General features: G+C 39.7%; 1 protein-coding gene across 4 annotated transcripts in view; it reads right to left on the bottom strand.

The window, feature by feature from the left end:
• Positions 1-7,146: 7,146 nt before the first annotated feature.
• Positions 7,147-15,496, bottom strand: part of UTP15 (UTP15 small subunit processome component) — a 17,640-nt gene continuing 9,290 nt past the window's right edge. For 2 of the 4 annotated variants that reach the window (XM_011543680.3, NM_032175.4), the window contains exons 8-13: positions 13,491-13,575; positions 12,522-12,671; positions 11,675-11,776; positions 11,377-11,510; positions 11,152-11,210; positions 7,147-10,650 (exon numbers count right to left, since the gene is read on the bottom strand). In XM_011543680.3, coding sequence (XP_011541982.1) covers positions 10,433-10,650; positions 11,152-11,210; positions 11,377-11,510; positions 11,675-11,776; positions 12,522-12,671; positions 13,491-13,575 — 748 coding nt within the window. In that variant the 3' untranslated portion in view covers positions 7,147-10,432. The remainder of the gene's footprint in view (positions 10,651-11,151; positions 11,211-11,376; positions 11,511-11,674; positions 11,777-12,521; positions 12,672-13,490; positions 13,576-15,496) is intronic. The other 2 variants (NM_001284430.1, NM_001284431.1) reach the window with 1 other exon arrangement.

Here is a 15,496-nt window from a genome sequence, read left to right as displayed (position 1 = left end):
TAGGGGACTGGTTAAACTGATTATGGCACAGCTGTATAGTAATATAGGAGGCCAGCATAAAAAAGAATGATGTAGAGCTGTCTGTACTGAGATGGATCAACCACTAATACACAATACGTGGAAAACCTGAAATGCAGAACAGAGGTATAGTGTGATCTCATTTGTTTAGAAGTGAGGTTGTGCATGCACATGGTTAAAGATGTGTAGAATATTTGGGGGAGAATATTGTGTGGATTGGCTCTCTTACCTTCTGCTCCATCCTCCTCTGCTCTATCCTCCTTCTAGGATGTCTTCAAAACTGTAGAGCTGGAAAGCTAAAAGCCATAGTTCCCACATTCCTTTCCAGATAATGCCCTGGATGCAAAATTGGGCTCCTCCAATTAGATATACTAACATGATATGAAAGTCAGGAATGAGCGGAAGGCCAGCTTCCTGCTTGTTACTGTCAGCAAGCAAGGAAAGGAGATGGGGAATGAGATGCAATTGTGATGAAGTGACCCAGCTTGCCAGGGTATATCCTCTGGCTTCATGATGGCAGGAGCAGTAGCTTTTTGCTCTCTGGAGCCATGCTCTTGAACAGTGGCTCCATCTGGAGCACTCCCTCCCTCCTATCCCTATTCTTCTAGCCCTTCCAGTGATTTCATAAGGACCTACTTCCTGTATTAAGTCCCGTCTACTTTAGCTTCCTAGAAGATTTCTATTTCTAGGACAACTGAACTTTGATTATTACAGCCGTTTAAGAAACTGGTAAGAGCCTTGTCATGGTTAGTATCATGTGTCAACTCGACTGGGCTAACGGATGCCCAGATAGCCAGTAAAGCATTTACTGGGTGTGTCTGTGAGGATATTTCTGGAATAGATTAGCATTTAAATCAGGGAACTGAGTAAAGATCCCTGAGTAAAGATCTCTCACCAATGTGGGAGTGTAACATCCAGTCTGTTAGGACCTGGATAGAACAATGTGGAGGAAGGACAAATTCACTCTCTCTTCTTCAGCCAGGACATCTATCTTCTTCTATCCTTGGATGCCAAAGCTGCTGGTTCTCGGGCCTTCAGACTTGAACTGAATTATACCACCACCTTTCCTGGTTCTCCACCTTGCAGGTGGCAAATCATGGAACTTCCCGGCTAATATATATATATATAATATATATATATAAAATATATAATATATAATCTGACTATATATATATATATAATCTCCTATTCATTCTGTTTCCCTGAAGAACCATAATATAAGACATTACCTTAGAAGAAAGTGGGCTGAGATCCAGAAGGAATGGAGATTTTTTTTTACTCTATTATATATACTGCTTTGTACTGTCAGAAAATTTTTCTATGTGTGTATTTTTTGAGGCAGTTCTATGCGTACTGATAGGGAACTATAGCTACAGTATGTTATTACTTTTTCCAAACAAAAAAAACAGAGCAACGTGAACAGCATTATATATATTATGCTTCAATTACATTGGGGAAAATCTATATAGAGATATATCTATACCTATTCAGATATATATCTAAAAGTGTATGTTTATAAATGCCTCCAGATAGGATAACTGGGTGACTAGGGGAAAGGATGAGAGAAAGACTTATCACTGTCTACTTTGCACTTTAGAATTTTATGCCCGGTCCATATGTTGTTTATTTAAAACTATATTGTTAACTAAAATGAGAAACTAGTAAGTTTTAAAGGAACAATCCATTTTGGCCAAAGTACATGCATCTTGTTGGGGATTATTGGGATGTAAGACCAAAATAAAAATGTAGGTTGGAGCTTGGCAAGACAAACGAGAGCAAGGAAGATCTCACTATGCTGGCATTTGCTTCTCTCTATCCCTGGAAGCCACTGGGAATGGTCTTTCCATAGTCCCAACTGTGCTGCTCCCTCCCTACTCGACCTCCCCAAAATCTAAGATCTCTCTCAGGGAAAGTCTCAAGCTTTTCAACTCAATCTCCCTCCCTTTCTCTCTCCCTGCCAAGGTAAAGAAAATTATCAAAAGCAAGTATATGTTGAGGGCTGGGCTTTTTAATAAACATTACTGAGTTTCAAAAGCAGAAACTCTCTTCCCCACCTCCCAACTCTCTCTTACCTGGTTCATGTTCAAAAACAAAGTCCACCGTTAGTCACAGTGCTTACATTTCAGTGCATTGACTAAAACATAGACACATTATAATGGAAATAATTCAGGGGATTCCCTCTTTTGATTAGAGAAGGAAGAAGAAGGGAGAGAGGCCTGACGATTCTGCAAGCATTAGGTATTCCTCCAAAAAAGAGGAGGGCAGCCATTGAGGGTGGTAGGGTGTCAGCAAGGAGGCTGAGGAAAACAGAAAGTCTGCAATGGCCACAGTTTGCCTAGAACTCACCCTGCTGTTTCACTGTATCCTCTTCAATCTCAGTTTCAGTGTGCAGCTGCCTGTACTCTATTTAGAGAGGATGTGAGTTAAGCATTTCTAGTTAGAGTGGTGAGAGCTTCCAGGGCATGGTGGTGGCTATCCTCAACATGAGAAGTCTCAAGACATCAGAGGGCTGCTTCATTCCCCAATGTTATCACAGCCCAAGGACCTCAGGGCACACAGCTTATGGCCTAGAAACATCTGTTAAATGAATAAACAGAAGAATGCCAATGTGTGTGTACGAAGTACGTTGCTGCCTCAGCATCACCCAAGACTACTGAGGTGAGGTCCCTCTCCTCCAGCCTGGTCAGGGGAGGTAGCACATGGATGGCAGTCCTAAAAGACCTCTCCTCAGACCCTGAGCTGCTAGAGAAAATGCCTGGGGAGCTGGTGCCAAGCAACAGGGCTGGAAGAATCAAGCCATGGGAAGAGTTTATGAGCAAGAATCAGTGAGAGGAAGAAAACTCAGGGGCAGATCTGGGGCAGTCAGGGCCAGGGAACTAAGTTAGAAACAGATGGGCCAGAGCCAGGAAGGACCAAGCCAGTGGCTGCGTTGGCAGATAAAGTAGCTGCCAGATGAGTACTTCAGACCAGATCAATGAAGTGGACTCAAGTCTCCAGAAAGAAAGAGTTTGCACTTCTCCAAAGGTCCAAGGCTGTCTGGTAGAAACTTCTCCAATTACGGAAATGTTCTGTATCTGTGTTGTCCAATATGGTAGCCACAAGCCACATGTGGCTATTTTCAGCCATCTCAAAGTGTGGCAAAGTGACTAAGGAACTGAATTCTTAATTTTAATTAATTTTAAGATCACTAGAAAACCCTTAGTAGGGCCAGGTACGGTGACTCATGCCTGTAATCCCAGCACTTTGGAAGGCCAAGGTGGGAGGGTCAGTTGAGCTCAGGAGTGGAGACCAGCCTGGGCAATAAAGTGAGACCTCGTCTCTACCAAAAAAAAAAAAAAAATTAGCTGGGAGTGGTGGCGTGGGCCTGTAGTCTTAGCTACTCGGAAGGCTGAGGTGGGAGAATCGCTTAAGCCTGGGAGGTTGAGACTGCAATGAGCCATGATCGCACCACTGCATTCCAGCCTGGGCAATAGAGCAAGACCCTGTCTCAAAAACAACAACAACAAAAGCAAAAACAACAGAAAACCATTAGGAGAAATTGCTCAAGACTTTAACTCTGTACCAAAAGCACAATGACCCAGCAGGAATCCCTGCCTCTATGTTCTCAGGTCAGAGTGGAGAGTGGCTGGATGTTTGAACTGTGTAAACAGATGCAAAAACAGTTGAGGAATAAACATCGACTGAAAAAATAAGTGGCGACAGGCTCTGAATCAGAATCAAGATCTCCAAAAAAACCAAATTTCCAACCGAGGATAACATCATAAGTATTTCAAGCCAAAGACCCTTCTACGTGGAAGCTGCCTGAGCTAAAGCGAAGGATGGAAGGAGGGTTTGGTCGTTTCACCTCCTACATTATCACTTCCATTCAGTTGCCACCATGTCCTTTTAATTCCCCCTGACACTGTGATAGACTGTCTCCAGGGAGTGATGAGATCAAATGTTTCTGAAGACCACTCTAGCCATGATACGGAGGATGGACTGGAGGACTGCTAAGCTGGAGGAGCTGTAAGGCAGGGTGCTGCAGAAGTCCAAAGGAATTGGGGCCACAAAGAGATGGCGATGGGAATGGAAAAACAAAAGGACATCTAGGATGTGGCAGCTGAGGGTTATGTTGAAAACTGCTTGAATATGGGAGGAAGAGAGAGAGCAGAATGAGGATGAGGCTGTCTCAAGCAATGATAAATGGTGCAGGTTGTAAAAACAGACTACGTGAATCCAAATCCTGTTTTGTTGTTGTTGTTGTTTGTTTTTCACTTACAAACTGGGTATCTGGAGTGAACTTAATCTGTTTTCCTGTTTCTGTAGAAGTGATTGCCCCTCTATCACCCGCCACAGCACCTGTGTGGCAGGTGTGAAGAATGGTGCCCAGAATTCTACAAGCTCCTGGGGAGAGCTCACTTCTCTCCCTCCCTCACACCCAGCATCTACCTGAAGATGATCAGGGCTGTCATCATGCCCTCTAACCCTCTTTATGCCAGTTATTGCCACAAGAAGCCAGGAACCCTAGATCATGCCTTATCTCCTAGACTCCATACATCCTCTCTTGTGGTCCCATTTCTATCCTTCTCTAGCTCATAAAACCCTTTGCCTCTGCCCTCTGGGTCTCACAGTCATCAGCAACAACCCTCAGACTCTCAACCTCGTGTTGACATTCTCTCCACGCCTTTGATCTGAGCCTTGGCTCTCTGCTGAGGACACTGTTTCTTCTGCAGCCCTCTCCAGTGCTGCTGATGGTGTTCTCATATCTCCTGTACAACTCCTAACAGTTGTATAGGTAATCCTCAATGCTGTTTCCAGACCATTCTCCCACCTTCCTTCCCAAGAATGCCTCACCACTGAATCTCATGTCATCTGACTATATCCCTAATACCTCCCACCTTGTTGGTCACCACACATCATGAGACCTATCATGTTTTCAACTTTTTAGCTCCTGGCTTGCTGTCACTCTTTCAAATACTGCTGTTGTCATAATGCTTAGTTCTCTCAACATCTTTCATACCTCTGGCTCGCTATCTCTAGTAGGCAAACCGCAACTCTTCAACCACACACAGACCAACAATCCATTGATCCAGGTGTTCTCACTGTCCTCAATCCCATGTGGCCTCCTTTCCATACTTACCCAGCTTAGCTTCCACGCTCTATCATTACAATCACTCCTTTGCATCAATCTTAACACTACCTTTGTCCCTGCCCAGTTATGTTGCATTCACCTACAAAAACCCCACTGCTTGTTAAATCCGTATCTCAGTCTGTTCCACATCTGCCTCCTAATAGGTGAATGTAAAGGGAAAAACATGCCACCATGCTGATGGGTCTCAGTGTAAATCCAGAACACTCATTCAGTTCCTTAGTCATGTGGGCCTCTAGTGCTGCCAGGGACCCTCCTTCATTTTCCAGTCCATTCATTCCCCCCATCATACTAGCTGACAATAGAAATATTCTAGGGGCTGGATTGAAGGTAGTGTTGTCTCAATTGATTGTTCAGTCAGTTACAGATAGAATTCCTTGTTCTACTCTCCCTTCTCAACACTGTTCTTTAAAAACAACTTTTTAGAAGAAATATTCTAGGTACATTTATGGGTATTAGCACAATTCTCACAACTATCCTATGTGATTCTGTTTGTCTGATTAACAGATGAAGAAAATGAGATACAAAATGTCAAAATAACGTCCCCCAGATCGTGTAGCCAGTGAGTGGTCAAGCCAAGATTCAAATCTATGCAGATGGCTCCAAAGTTTGAGTTCTTGACCTTATTAGGATTAATTCATATCTTGTTATCTCATCAAACTTCCAACACCTCCACCTGCTCTTCCTCTAACCTCATTTCAGTTGGTTACCTTCTTGGGTTTTTTCCAATGAAGAGACACCAAATTAACTTCCACAAACCCTCACTATCACCTCTACCCACCTAATTGCCTCTGTGCCCGTATATGCCTTCCCTCCTGAACTATGCCCAAATTATTATTCTCCTATCTTCTCCTATCTAAACCAACCCTTCCACTTGGGCACTTGACCCTTGCCACTGCTCCAGCAGTGCCACCTCCCCTGGATCCTATATCATGTTTTTCCTTCTCTACAGGATTATCCCCACTGACACACATTCATTCTGTCATTGTTGCCAACTTAAATCTCAAATTAATTATAAATCTCAAAACAATTATGCTAAGTGAAAGAAGCCAGACCCCCCAAATCCTAAATTCTAATTCCATTTTATAAAATTCTAGAAAATGAACACTAATCTATGGTGACAGGAAGTAGTTCAGTAGTTGCCTGAGGCGAAGGGGCCAAGGGATGGATTACCAAGGGCAGGAGGAAACTTTTGAGGGTATTAAACATGTTCATTAACTTGATTGTGGTTTCAAGGGTGTATAAATGTCAAAACATATCAAATGAACACCTTAAATATGTGTAGTTTATAGCATATCAATTATACCTAATTAAAAAAAACTCTTGACCCCACATACCTCCAGTCATTGCCCAATTTTGTATTCCCTTTTACGTTAAAACTCCCTAAAGAGCTGTCAAAATGCACCATCGCCAGTTTCTACACCATTCTGTATCTTACTACTCTCCCCTCCCTTGCTCCATGCCAGCTAAATGGGCCACCTTGCCATTCCTAACTCCCCAGGCACACTTCTCCACTCTGCCCCTAGATAGCAATGAGGATCCTTCACTTCCTAAAGAACTTTGCTCAATTGCCATCCCAGTGAGGCCTTCCCTAACTACTCTATTTAAAACTCCAACCCACCAATCACCCCTGACATTTGCCATCTCCCTCCCCTGCCTGATTGGTCTCCATCTCATTTAGCACCACGTGACCCCACTACATATGTACTTGTTCACTGAGTATCTCCCCTAATCAGAATATTGAGGGAGATATTTTGTCTATTTTGTTCATTGCTATAACCTTGATACCCTGGCCTCTAATGTGTCTCAATAAATATCAGGACCAGTGGATTAGTGTTTTCAGAGTCATTTGGTTGTAAATAAGAGAAAACCACTCACAGTCAACTAAGCAAACAAGTGTTAGAGGGAATCCAAAAATATCATGGACCCCTGGGGGAAGAGGTACAACCAGAATAGGGCAATAGGAAGTCATCAGGAACTAAGATGGTTTCTCTCTCCTCTAGTCTGAACTATTAAAGCAGGATAATCTTTATTTTCTTTGCACTTAGGTTTCATTCTTGTTCATTCTCTACAAACCAACTTTCTCCGCTGATGACCTAGACATAGCATTCCCAGCCTCCCATTTTCCCAGATCAGGAATTTCATTATAAATCCCAATTACAAATCCCTGCTTAGAGAAGGGTTGAGTCAGTTGTACCACCATGGTCCAGTTAACTATAGCTGAGGGAACAGGCATGCGGCTTTTTAATGTCTAAGAGGGTATTTTGTTCCTAGAAAATGAAATGCCCTCATTGAGTTGAACAGACTAAATTTGTTTTAACAATCCCATTTACAATTCAAATTCCTTTAAACAACTTAATAGCATTTATACATTTAAAAAAATGATTCTTTTAAGCAGCATTGCAAATGCTTGACCCCATTAGCATAAACCTTCCCAAGTGCTTAAATCTCATAAACATAATAAATTAAACATACGGTGACTTTCCAAGTTCTCTGAAACATTTCAGTACTTTTGCAGACTTAGTAACATTTTAAAATACCTTTCAACTGAAACTCATAAGTCTAAAAGTCTGTTAAGCATTTTAAATTAGAATCTTAAGGCCAGTGTCACATATTGTAATATGCCAATTATGTTTAAATACTTCAAACAGCAAATACTACAGTTTATCTCAATGAATATAATAACCATTCCTGCTGGGCGCAGTGGCTCATGCCTTTAATCCCAGTCATTAAGGAGGCTGAGGTGGGAAGATTGCTTGAAACCAGGAGATTGCCTCAGGCCTGGGCAACATGGTGAGACCTCTTATCTCAAAAAATCAAAATAAAAAATTAGCTGGGCATGGTGGCTCATCCCTGTAGCCCCAGCTTCTCAGGAGGCTGAGGTGGGAGGATAGCTTCAGCCTAGGAGACAGAAGCTGCAGTGAGCTATGATCACACCACTACACTCCAGCCTGGACAACAGAAAGAGACCTTGTCTCTAAAAACAAAACAAAACAAACAAACAAAAAAGTACTCCTGAATTTAAGTATTGATGGCTATGGGAATTGCTTCCTAACCTGTTTGAAAAATGTGTTAACTGTTACATATTTTGAGAACTGCAGCACTCAGTGAAGCTTTGTTAAAGGGAATGAGGAGTTTAGGCCCCAGCAGGCAAACCACTTCACAGTGCTAGGATGAAGAGCTCACACTCAGGGACTTCGAGAGTGAATCAACTACTTTCGTTAACTCAATGTTAAATGAGAATAACATCAACCTTGGATGGTTGTGGTGAGAATCAAATGAAATGACATATGGGAAAACCTTTGTCACATGTTACACAATTGACGGCAACTACAGCTTTAGGTAGAATTTCAACTTCTAATTTTTACTACTATGCAAATTATCAGAATATTTATGATGTTAACTTTTTAAAAAGGTTTTTAAATAGAAACTTTATTTAAATAAATGAACTCTTCTCAACCCCAAAACCCAGCTTCTGATCTTGACTAAGTTCATAATTACTCAGGGAAAAACACTGCTGGTTCCTTATAAGCCACTGTGCTGTACGAAATCAATTCATGAAAAGGAAACGCCCTATTTCCAAGCATACCTGTACTAGAATATATTAAGTATATTCACTTAACATATTAATTTAAATGTTAATGTTAGTCTAAATGTTAAATTAATTTAATATGTTAAACTTAATACGTTTATTTAATTTTTACTTAATACCCTTACTGGAACATATTAAGCATTTTTTCGGCTTAAAAAAAACAAAAAAACAAAAAAAAACCCTGAATTTACAGAACTAAAATTATGAGAGGAGATTCGCATTACAAAATCTTCCTCTATGGGTTCTTCTAGCTCAAGACATTTTTCTTACTGATTTTTAACTACTTGAGTTGGCGTAATAATTAGAGAAAAGCAGGAGAGGTAGCAACTGTGAAACCAGTGTACTAGGAGTTACTAGCCAATGATTATCTATCAGGAACAGATACATCAAAAAGCCAAGAAAATAAGAATCTCTCTTTATAAAAAAATAATAGTTACAGGCTGGACACAGTGGCTCACACCTGTAATCCAAGCACTTCGGGAGGCAGAGGCAGGTAGATCACTTGAGGTCAGGAGTTTTAGACCAGCCCGGTAAGGTGAAACCCCGTCTCTACTAAAACTACAAAAATTAGCCAGGCGTGGTGGGGCACACCTGTAATCCCAGCTACTCAGGAGGCTGAGGCAGGAGAACTGCTTAAACCCGGGAGGGCAGAGGTTGCAGTGGACTGAGATTGCATCACTGTACTCCAGCCTGGGCGATAAAGCGAGACCCTGTCTTTAAAAAAAAAAAAAAAACTTCTAAAAAATAATTATTTACATTAAACTTTTAAAAACAACTATTTTTCAAAGCAAACTGCTCTGCATTGGGGTTCCGAAATACAATATGATTGTGAATAATGGGGGGAGGAATCTAAATACAAATCAGAGAAAACAGTTTTCAGAGGATTAGGTAGCTTAGCTACAAGATTAGCTTGAAACATATGAAGAATAGTCTGAAAGGCTGTTGTAAGAAAAATGACAAATTCTATCATTCCTCTGACCTGAAACAAGGTGAAAACTTGGTAGAAAGGCTGCATGAAGAAAAAAAAAAAAGTAGTCCAATAAGGTCTATCTGTAGAGCTTGCTCTCACACTCTGAATACAAATCTAGCTAGTGTCAGTTCTTCAGAGCCGAAAACTTACTTGCCACACTTGGAACCGATGCAGTCCCATTACCAGCTGAAGCAGGGCATGTGATCTAAGACAAGTGTAGATATCAAGGAGACAGGAAGCAAGCTAAGCAAGGGCCTAGAAATCCCAAAGGCACTGATTAAAGTCAAGAAAGAGGCTTTTTGTTGTTGCCAATTGTTTTTGTTGTCTTCCAGAGGTAATACAAGGCTTTGCTCCTTTAGCAGGATTCCCAGTTGGACCCTCTCCAGAGAGGATTCATATTTGAATTCCCATCTGAATACCAACCCAAATGTTGATACAGAACACTCCTGTATTAAAATTAATATCCATCCCAGATAAACCTACTCTGTGACTAAGACAATTGAGATCTTCTAGGTGAAGATGCTATAATTCAAAATATTACATGGAAAACCATGTCTTACTTAAAACGGGTACTTGTTTTCCGGCCATAATTATTCCAGTCTCTTCCACAGAACTGCTTCTGCAAACAGTTTTTTTAATGTATCAAAGAGAGTCTCTCGCCAACATTTAATACAGTCAAATCTATTCCAACTTCAGAGTTCTTATATGTCTTATTTAGCAGACACTATGATTCTATCTTCTTATTCTCTGGAAATCCATCAGATGTGTGTTCCAACACAGAAGTGCCTTCCTTCCTTCTCATGGTGGCAAAAAGCATATCCATCATCCCCAAGGTTTCTAACAATTCTCTTTGGTAATCAATCTCTTTTTCTACAAGTCCTTGAAGTAGTAAAAACTTTTTATCAACTACAGGGGACTGACCAATTACAGGCAGATATATATCTAAAAAGAGAGAAAGAAAACACATTAACTAGCAATATCTTTCCATACATTAAGTGAAAAGCAAAAGTTTTTAAAAGTATAAAAATATTAAACATAAGAACACTGAAAAATCTGTACTTATTTTATAATTAATTAATGATTTATAGAAAGTATAACAATCCCTCTGAGTAAATTAATTTCAAAAAATAATAATTACAGAAAGTATAGGGTGGAGTTCCTGACTTATTTTCATTTTCCCATTTGAAAAATTGTCATCGTCATTATAGATGTCTATGAAAAAAATTTTTTATAATAACCCTAGTCCCATCAATTCAAAGTCACACCACTATAAACATTTTACTACTTTTTAAACTGCACTGACTTGTTGTTTTCTCCATGAAAATCCATATTGAGATTTGATAAAAGCAAGATATTTTGATCTACTTGATTTCCAAATTTGATTATTTGACATCTCTACTTTTGCAAGCATGTTAGGATTTTCAAGTTTTAACAATGACTTACCAATAATTATTTCAGCAGCATTGATTAAAACAGGGGCAAATCTTGGCTGAGAAAGATTCCTACAAAGTAAAAATTCAGTTTAGTGAAACTTGTAAACTTAAAAAAAAAATCCTTAAAACAGATTTGTTTCATCAGTTCTCTACAAAGATCAAACTAAATGTCTTTTATTTGGTGATAAAGGATTTCAGATGCAAAATGTAAGTGTTTCACAGACAAAAAACATACCTTATCAAAAAATTAAGAACATGACTGATTTCCTTCTCATCCCGACCTGCAAGCGCATTTGCAAGGACTCCTCTTCGATTTAACTCCTTTATGATGGACACCGTAATCTCGGGTGTCTTTATTGTACAAGTGGGCTAGAAAAATTTTCAAAGTCAACATGAGTAGACAAAACAGCACAAAAAAAATCACTGTCTTGCACTAAATTATCAAGTTTGAATAATATTTATCTTCACAGTTCCAAGTCATGGTAATATGCAGGGTAAGTAATAACATGATTTTTTAAAAAATGCTCACTCACATCAAGAACTCTATCGAGTGCCTTAGAGATCCGAAAATGTTTCAGATCCCTGTCATACAATTCTAGGTGCTTCTTTGCTGGCCTGTTAATCAAAATGTCATCCTGCAATGAAAAGTACATTTATAGAGAAGGAAAATCAGCATCTGTGTAAATATACATTTAATATAAACTTTTTCATAATGAAGTGGTATCTCTGAACTATGTCACAAATAATGTTCATATGCCCATAATGTAGATTAAATAAAAATGCATCCTGCTAATCAGAGTCAAAAAAAGAAAAAAAAAAAGGAGTAACTTGCTACATCAACATGTTCTTACTCTCTTATAATTTTAACTTACAACATGCACCATTGCCTTAATTCTAGGTAAAAATTACTCATTTCAATTCTCTTTATGTGGCAGGCAGTGTGGTACAGTAGAAAGAGAAATCAAACAACAATCAGAGATAATGAGATCTAGTCTCAACAACTCTGGATACCAGTAATGAAATCCTGAATCAATCACAAATTATTTGTCGCTCAGTCTTCTCAGGTGCCAAACAGGGACATGATTGGTTCTACTACTTCTTGGGATTTAGATCAAATCAGGTAGTATGTGAAAGACATTATTTTGAATGCAGTAAAGCATTATAACATTATGTTATGATGCAGAGTATTACATAAAGTAGTCCTTGTTCCCCATTACTCATCAATAATGTCCCCAATCTAGCAATCTAGAAATAATTCTGATGTAGAGAAAAGCAAAATAAAGTGCCATGTGAACTACGCTTTCCAGTAATGTGCAGGGATGAAGCTGGCTACTCTAACAAATTTCACCCTTTAAACAAATATGAGAAATGCACAAATACCCGTTGCTTCATGTAATTTTTTCCTTTAATAAAGGTTCGATATGCAGGCCTTCTTCTTCTGGGAAGTGATTCCTTCTTTGCTTCAGATTTCCGATGTTTAACACTCAGTATTCCATTGGTCATTCCTACAACTATTGTCTCATCTTCATGCTAATAACAATTAGAAAAATAAGTTAGTCTATTCTTAACTCGTAATTTATAGTACTTTTACTTCAAAACACATTTACCATGTGTTTGCTGCTTGTCCATACATTCACCAACAGTTCCATTCAAATACACATAGTCTGCCTAACGATGATTGGTGCAAGACGTTAAAGCGAAATCATTTTTTCCTTAGGATACAACTACATTGACAGAACTTATACTTGTAAAATATCACTGGCAAAGTTTGTATAATACATAGTTAACGGCATCAAAGATTACACAGTAGCAAGACTTTTATGATCTTGCCCCCCAAAAATATTTTTAATAAGCTTTTCCTCTCCCAAATCAGATTTCTATATAATATAGTCAAATGCCTTCCTGCCCAAATGTGGCTTCTCATAAAACTTGACAGTATACATTTCAGAAAGAGCAGTAACAAAGAAAAGGAGATATTTCATTTTGTTGTCCCCTTCTCCCCACATCTTTTTTTCTGCTCAGAGAGCTAATCTGCCTTTCTAGTGTACTATAATACTCTTGAGTTAAATGAGTTGAAGAGAGATTTACCAGCTTCCCAGGTCCTGCGTTTAATGTTAACAATGCCTAGAGCACTGTATTTAGTTTGAAGTTCTACAGTGAGTGGGACCTAAATCTGAATTCATGCTGAGTCAATAGGACGAGTTACATATTCCAGCAATTGTCTTAACTCAAATATCTGATGTGGCAAGAAAAGTTACTCAAATCTAAAAATAAAGCCCAAAGTTCCATTTTAGTTTCATTTAACAGGCAGGGTTAGTGACAGACTTAAAAATAGGTAAAGGTACTTACTGCAAGGGCAAGACTCAAAATTGAAGCTGCATAATCAAAACTGTGGACTACTTTGTAGGAAGTTGTGCTGTATACTTTCACCTTCCTAATAAAAAGGAAAAGCTTTGTCAAAAATCACCTTGAAAACGAGTATAAAATGCAAATTTCTATTTTCTGAAAACAAAATACAAACATTAAAATCTGTACAACAGTGAAGAAAAACAAAGATTAGTAATGTTAATTACAAACTAATTCATCACTGAATCCCTTAAAAAATGAGCTGTAGGCCGGACACGGTGGCTCACACCTGTAATTCAAGCACTTTGGGAGGCCAAGGTGGGTGAATCACCTGAGGTCAGGAGTTCGAGACCAGCCTGACCAACATGGTGAAACTCCATCTCTACTAAAAATACAAAATAGCTGGGCGTGGTGGCACATGCCTGTAATCCCAGCTACTTGGGAAGCTGAGGCAGGAGAATTGCTTGAACCTGGGAGGTGGAGGCTGCAGTGAGCCAAGATTGTGCCACTGCACTCCAGCCTGGGCGACAAGAGCAAAGCTCTGTCTAAAAAAAAAAAAAAAGAGCTGTATACCAGCCCTAACTATAACATCCGTATAAAAACTTTGACTAGCCACTTATAAAAAAAATAGAAGGGCCGGGTGTGGTGGCTCAGGTCTGTAATCCCAGCACTTCGGGAGGCCAAGGTGGGCAGATCACTTGAGGCCAGGAGTTCAAGACCAGCCTGGCCAACACGGCATAACCCGATGTCTACCAAAAATAATAAAAACTAGCCAGGTGTGGTGACACACACCTGTAATCCCAGCTACTCAGGAGGCTGAGGCATGAGAATTGCTTCAACCTGGGAGGCAGAGGTTGCAGTGAGCCGAAATCGTGCCACTGCCCTCCAGCCTGGGCCACAGAGTAAGACTCTGTTTCAAAAATTTAAAAAGAAAAAAAGGAAAAAAAAAAAACAGAAGGACAGACCATGAGCCACTGTCATCTGAAGATCAAACTTGGGAGTAAAGAAAAGGTATTAGCCGGGTGCGGTGGCTCACACCTGTAGTAATCCCAGCACTTTTGGAGGCCGAGGTGGGCAGATCACCTGAGGTCGGGAGTTAAAGAGCAGCCTGACCAACATGGAGAAACCCTGTCTCTACTAAAAATACAAAATCAGCCGGGCATGGTGGCACATGCCTGTAATCTCGGCTACTTGGGAGCTGAAGCAGGAGAATCACATGAACCCAGGAGGCAGAAGGTGCGGTGAGCCGAGACCGCGCCATTGCACTCCAGCCTGGGCAACAAGAGTGAAACTCCATCTTAAAAAAAAAAAAAGAAAAAATTATCAATGAAAGCACATCACAAAGCCAAGTGTGATGGCTCACACCTGTAATCCCAGCACTCTGGGAGGCCAAGGACAGCAGATTGTTTGAGCCCAGGAGTTCAAGACCAGCCTGGGCAACTTGAAGAAACCCTGTCTCTAAAAAAATAAATTAAAAAAAAAAAAAGAAAGAAAGAAAGTACACATGAAGCCAAAGATCAGGGATTCTCAACCTCAGAATTACTGTCATTTTGGGGCACAGAATTCTTTTTTGTGGGGGTTGTTCTGTGCATTGTAGGATGTTTAGCAGCCTTCCTGGCCTCTATCCCCTATATGGTAAGTACCATGAGTTGTGATAAAAAACAATACTTTCTCAAGATATTGTCAAACGTTCCTTGAGGAACAAAAATCACTCTTGGTTGAAACCACCACAAATAGAGCCAATTTACACTTAGCTTTTAGGAACATACCTAAGAATCAAGTCCCAAATTGCCGAGTAACATGATTTCAGTAACATGTGTAAACTTGCCATGTATTTACATAAAAAATTCCTTTGTATTAAAAATATTTTCTAGCTTTTAAAATATGTACAGTCAATCCTTCTTATGGCAGGTTCCACATCTGCAGATTCAACCAACCATGGATTGAAAATATCCATAAATATATAAACAATACAGAATTTTAAAATACAGTGTAACAACTATTTACAT

The sequence above is a fragment of the Homo sapiens genome, chromosome 5, assembly GCF_000001405.40.
Source record: "Homo sapiens chromosome 5, GRCh38.p14 Primary Assembly".
Taxonomy (NCBI): Eukaryota; Metazoa; Chordata; class Mammalia; order Primates; family Hominidae; genus Homo; species Homo sapiens.
Note: the sequence above shows the minus strand (reverse complement) of the source record. Positions and strands in the feature narration are given on the sequence as shown.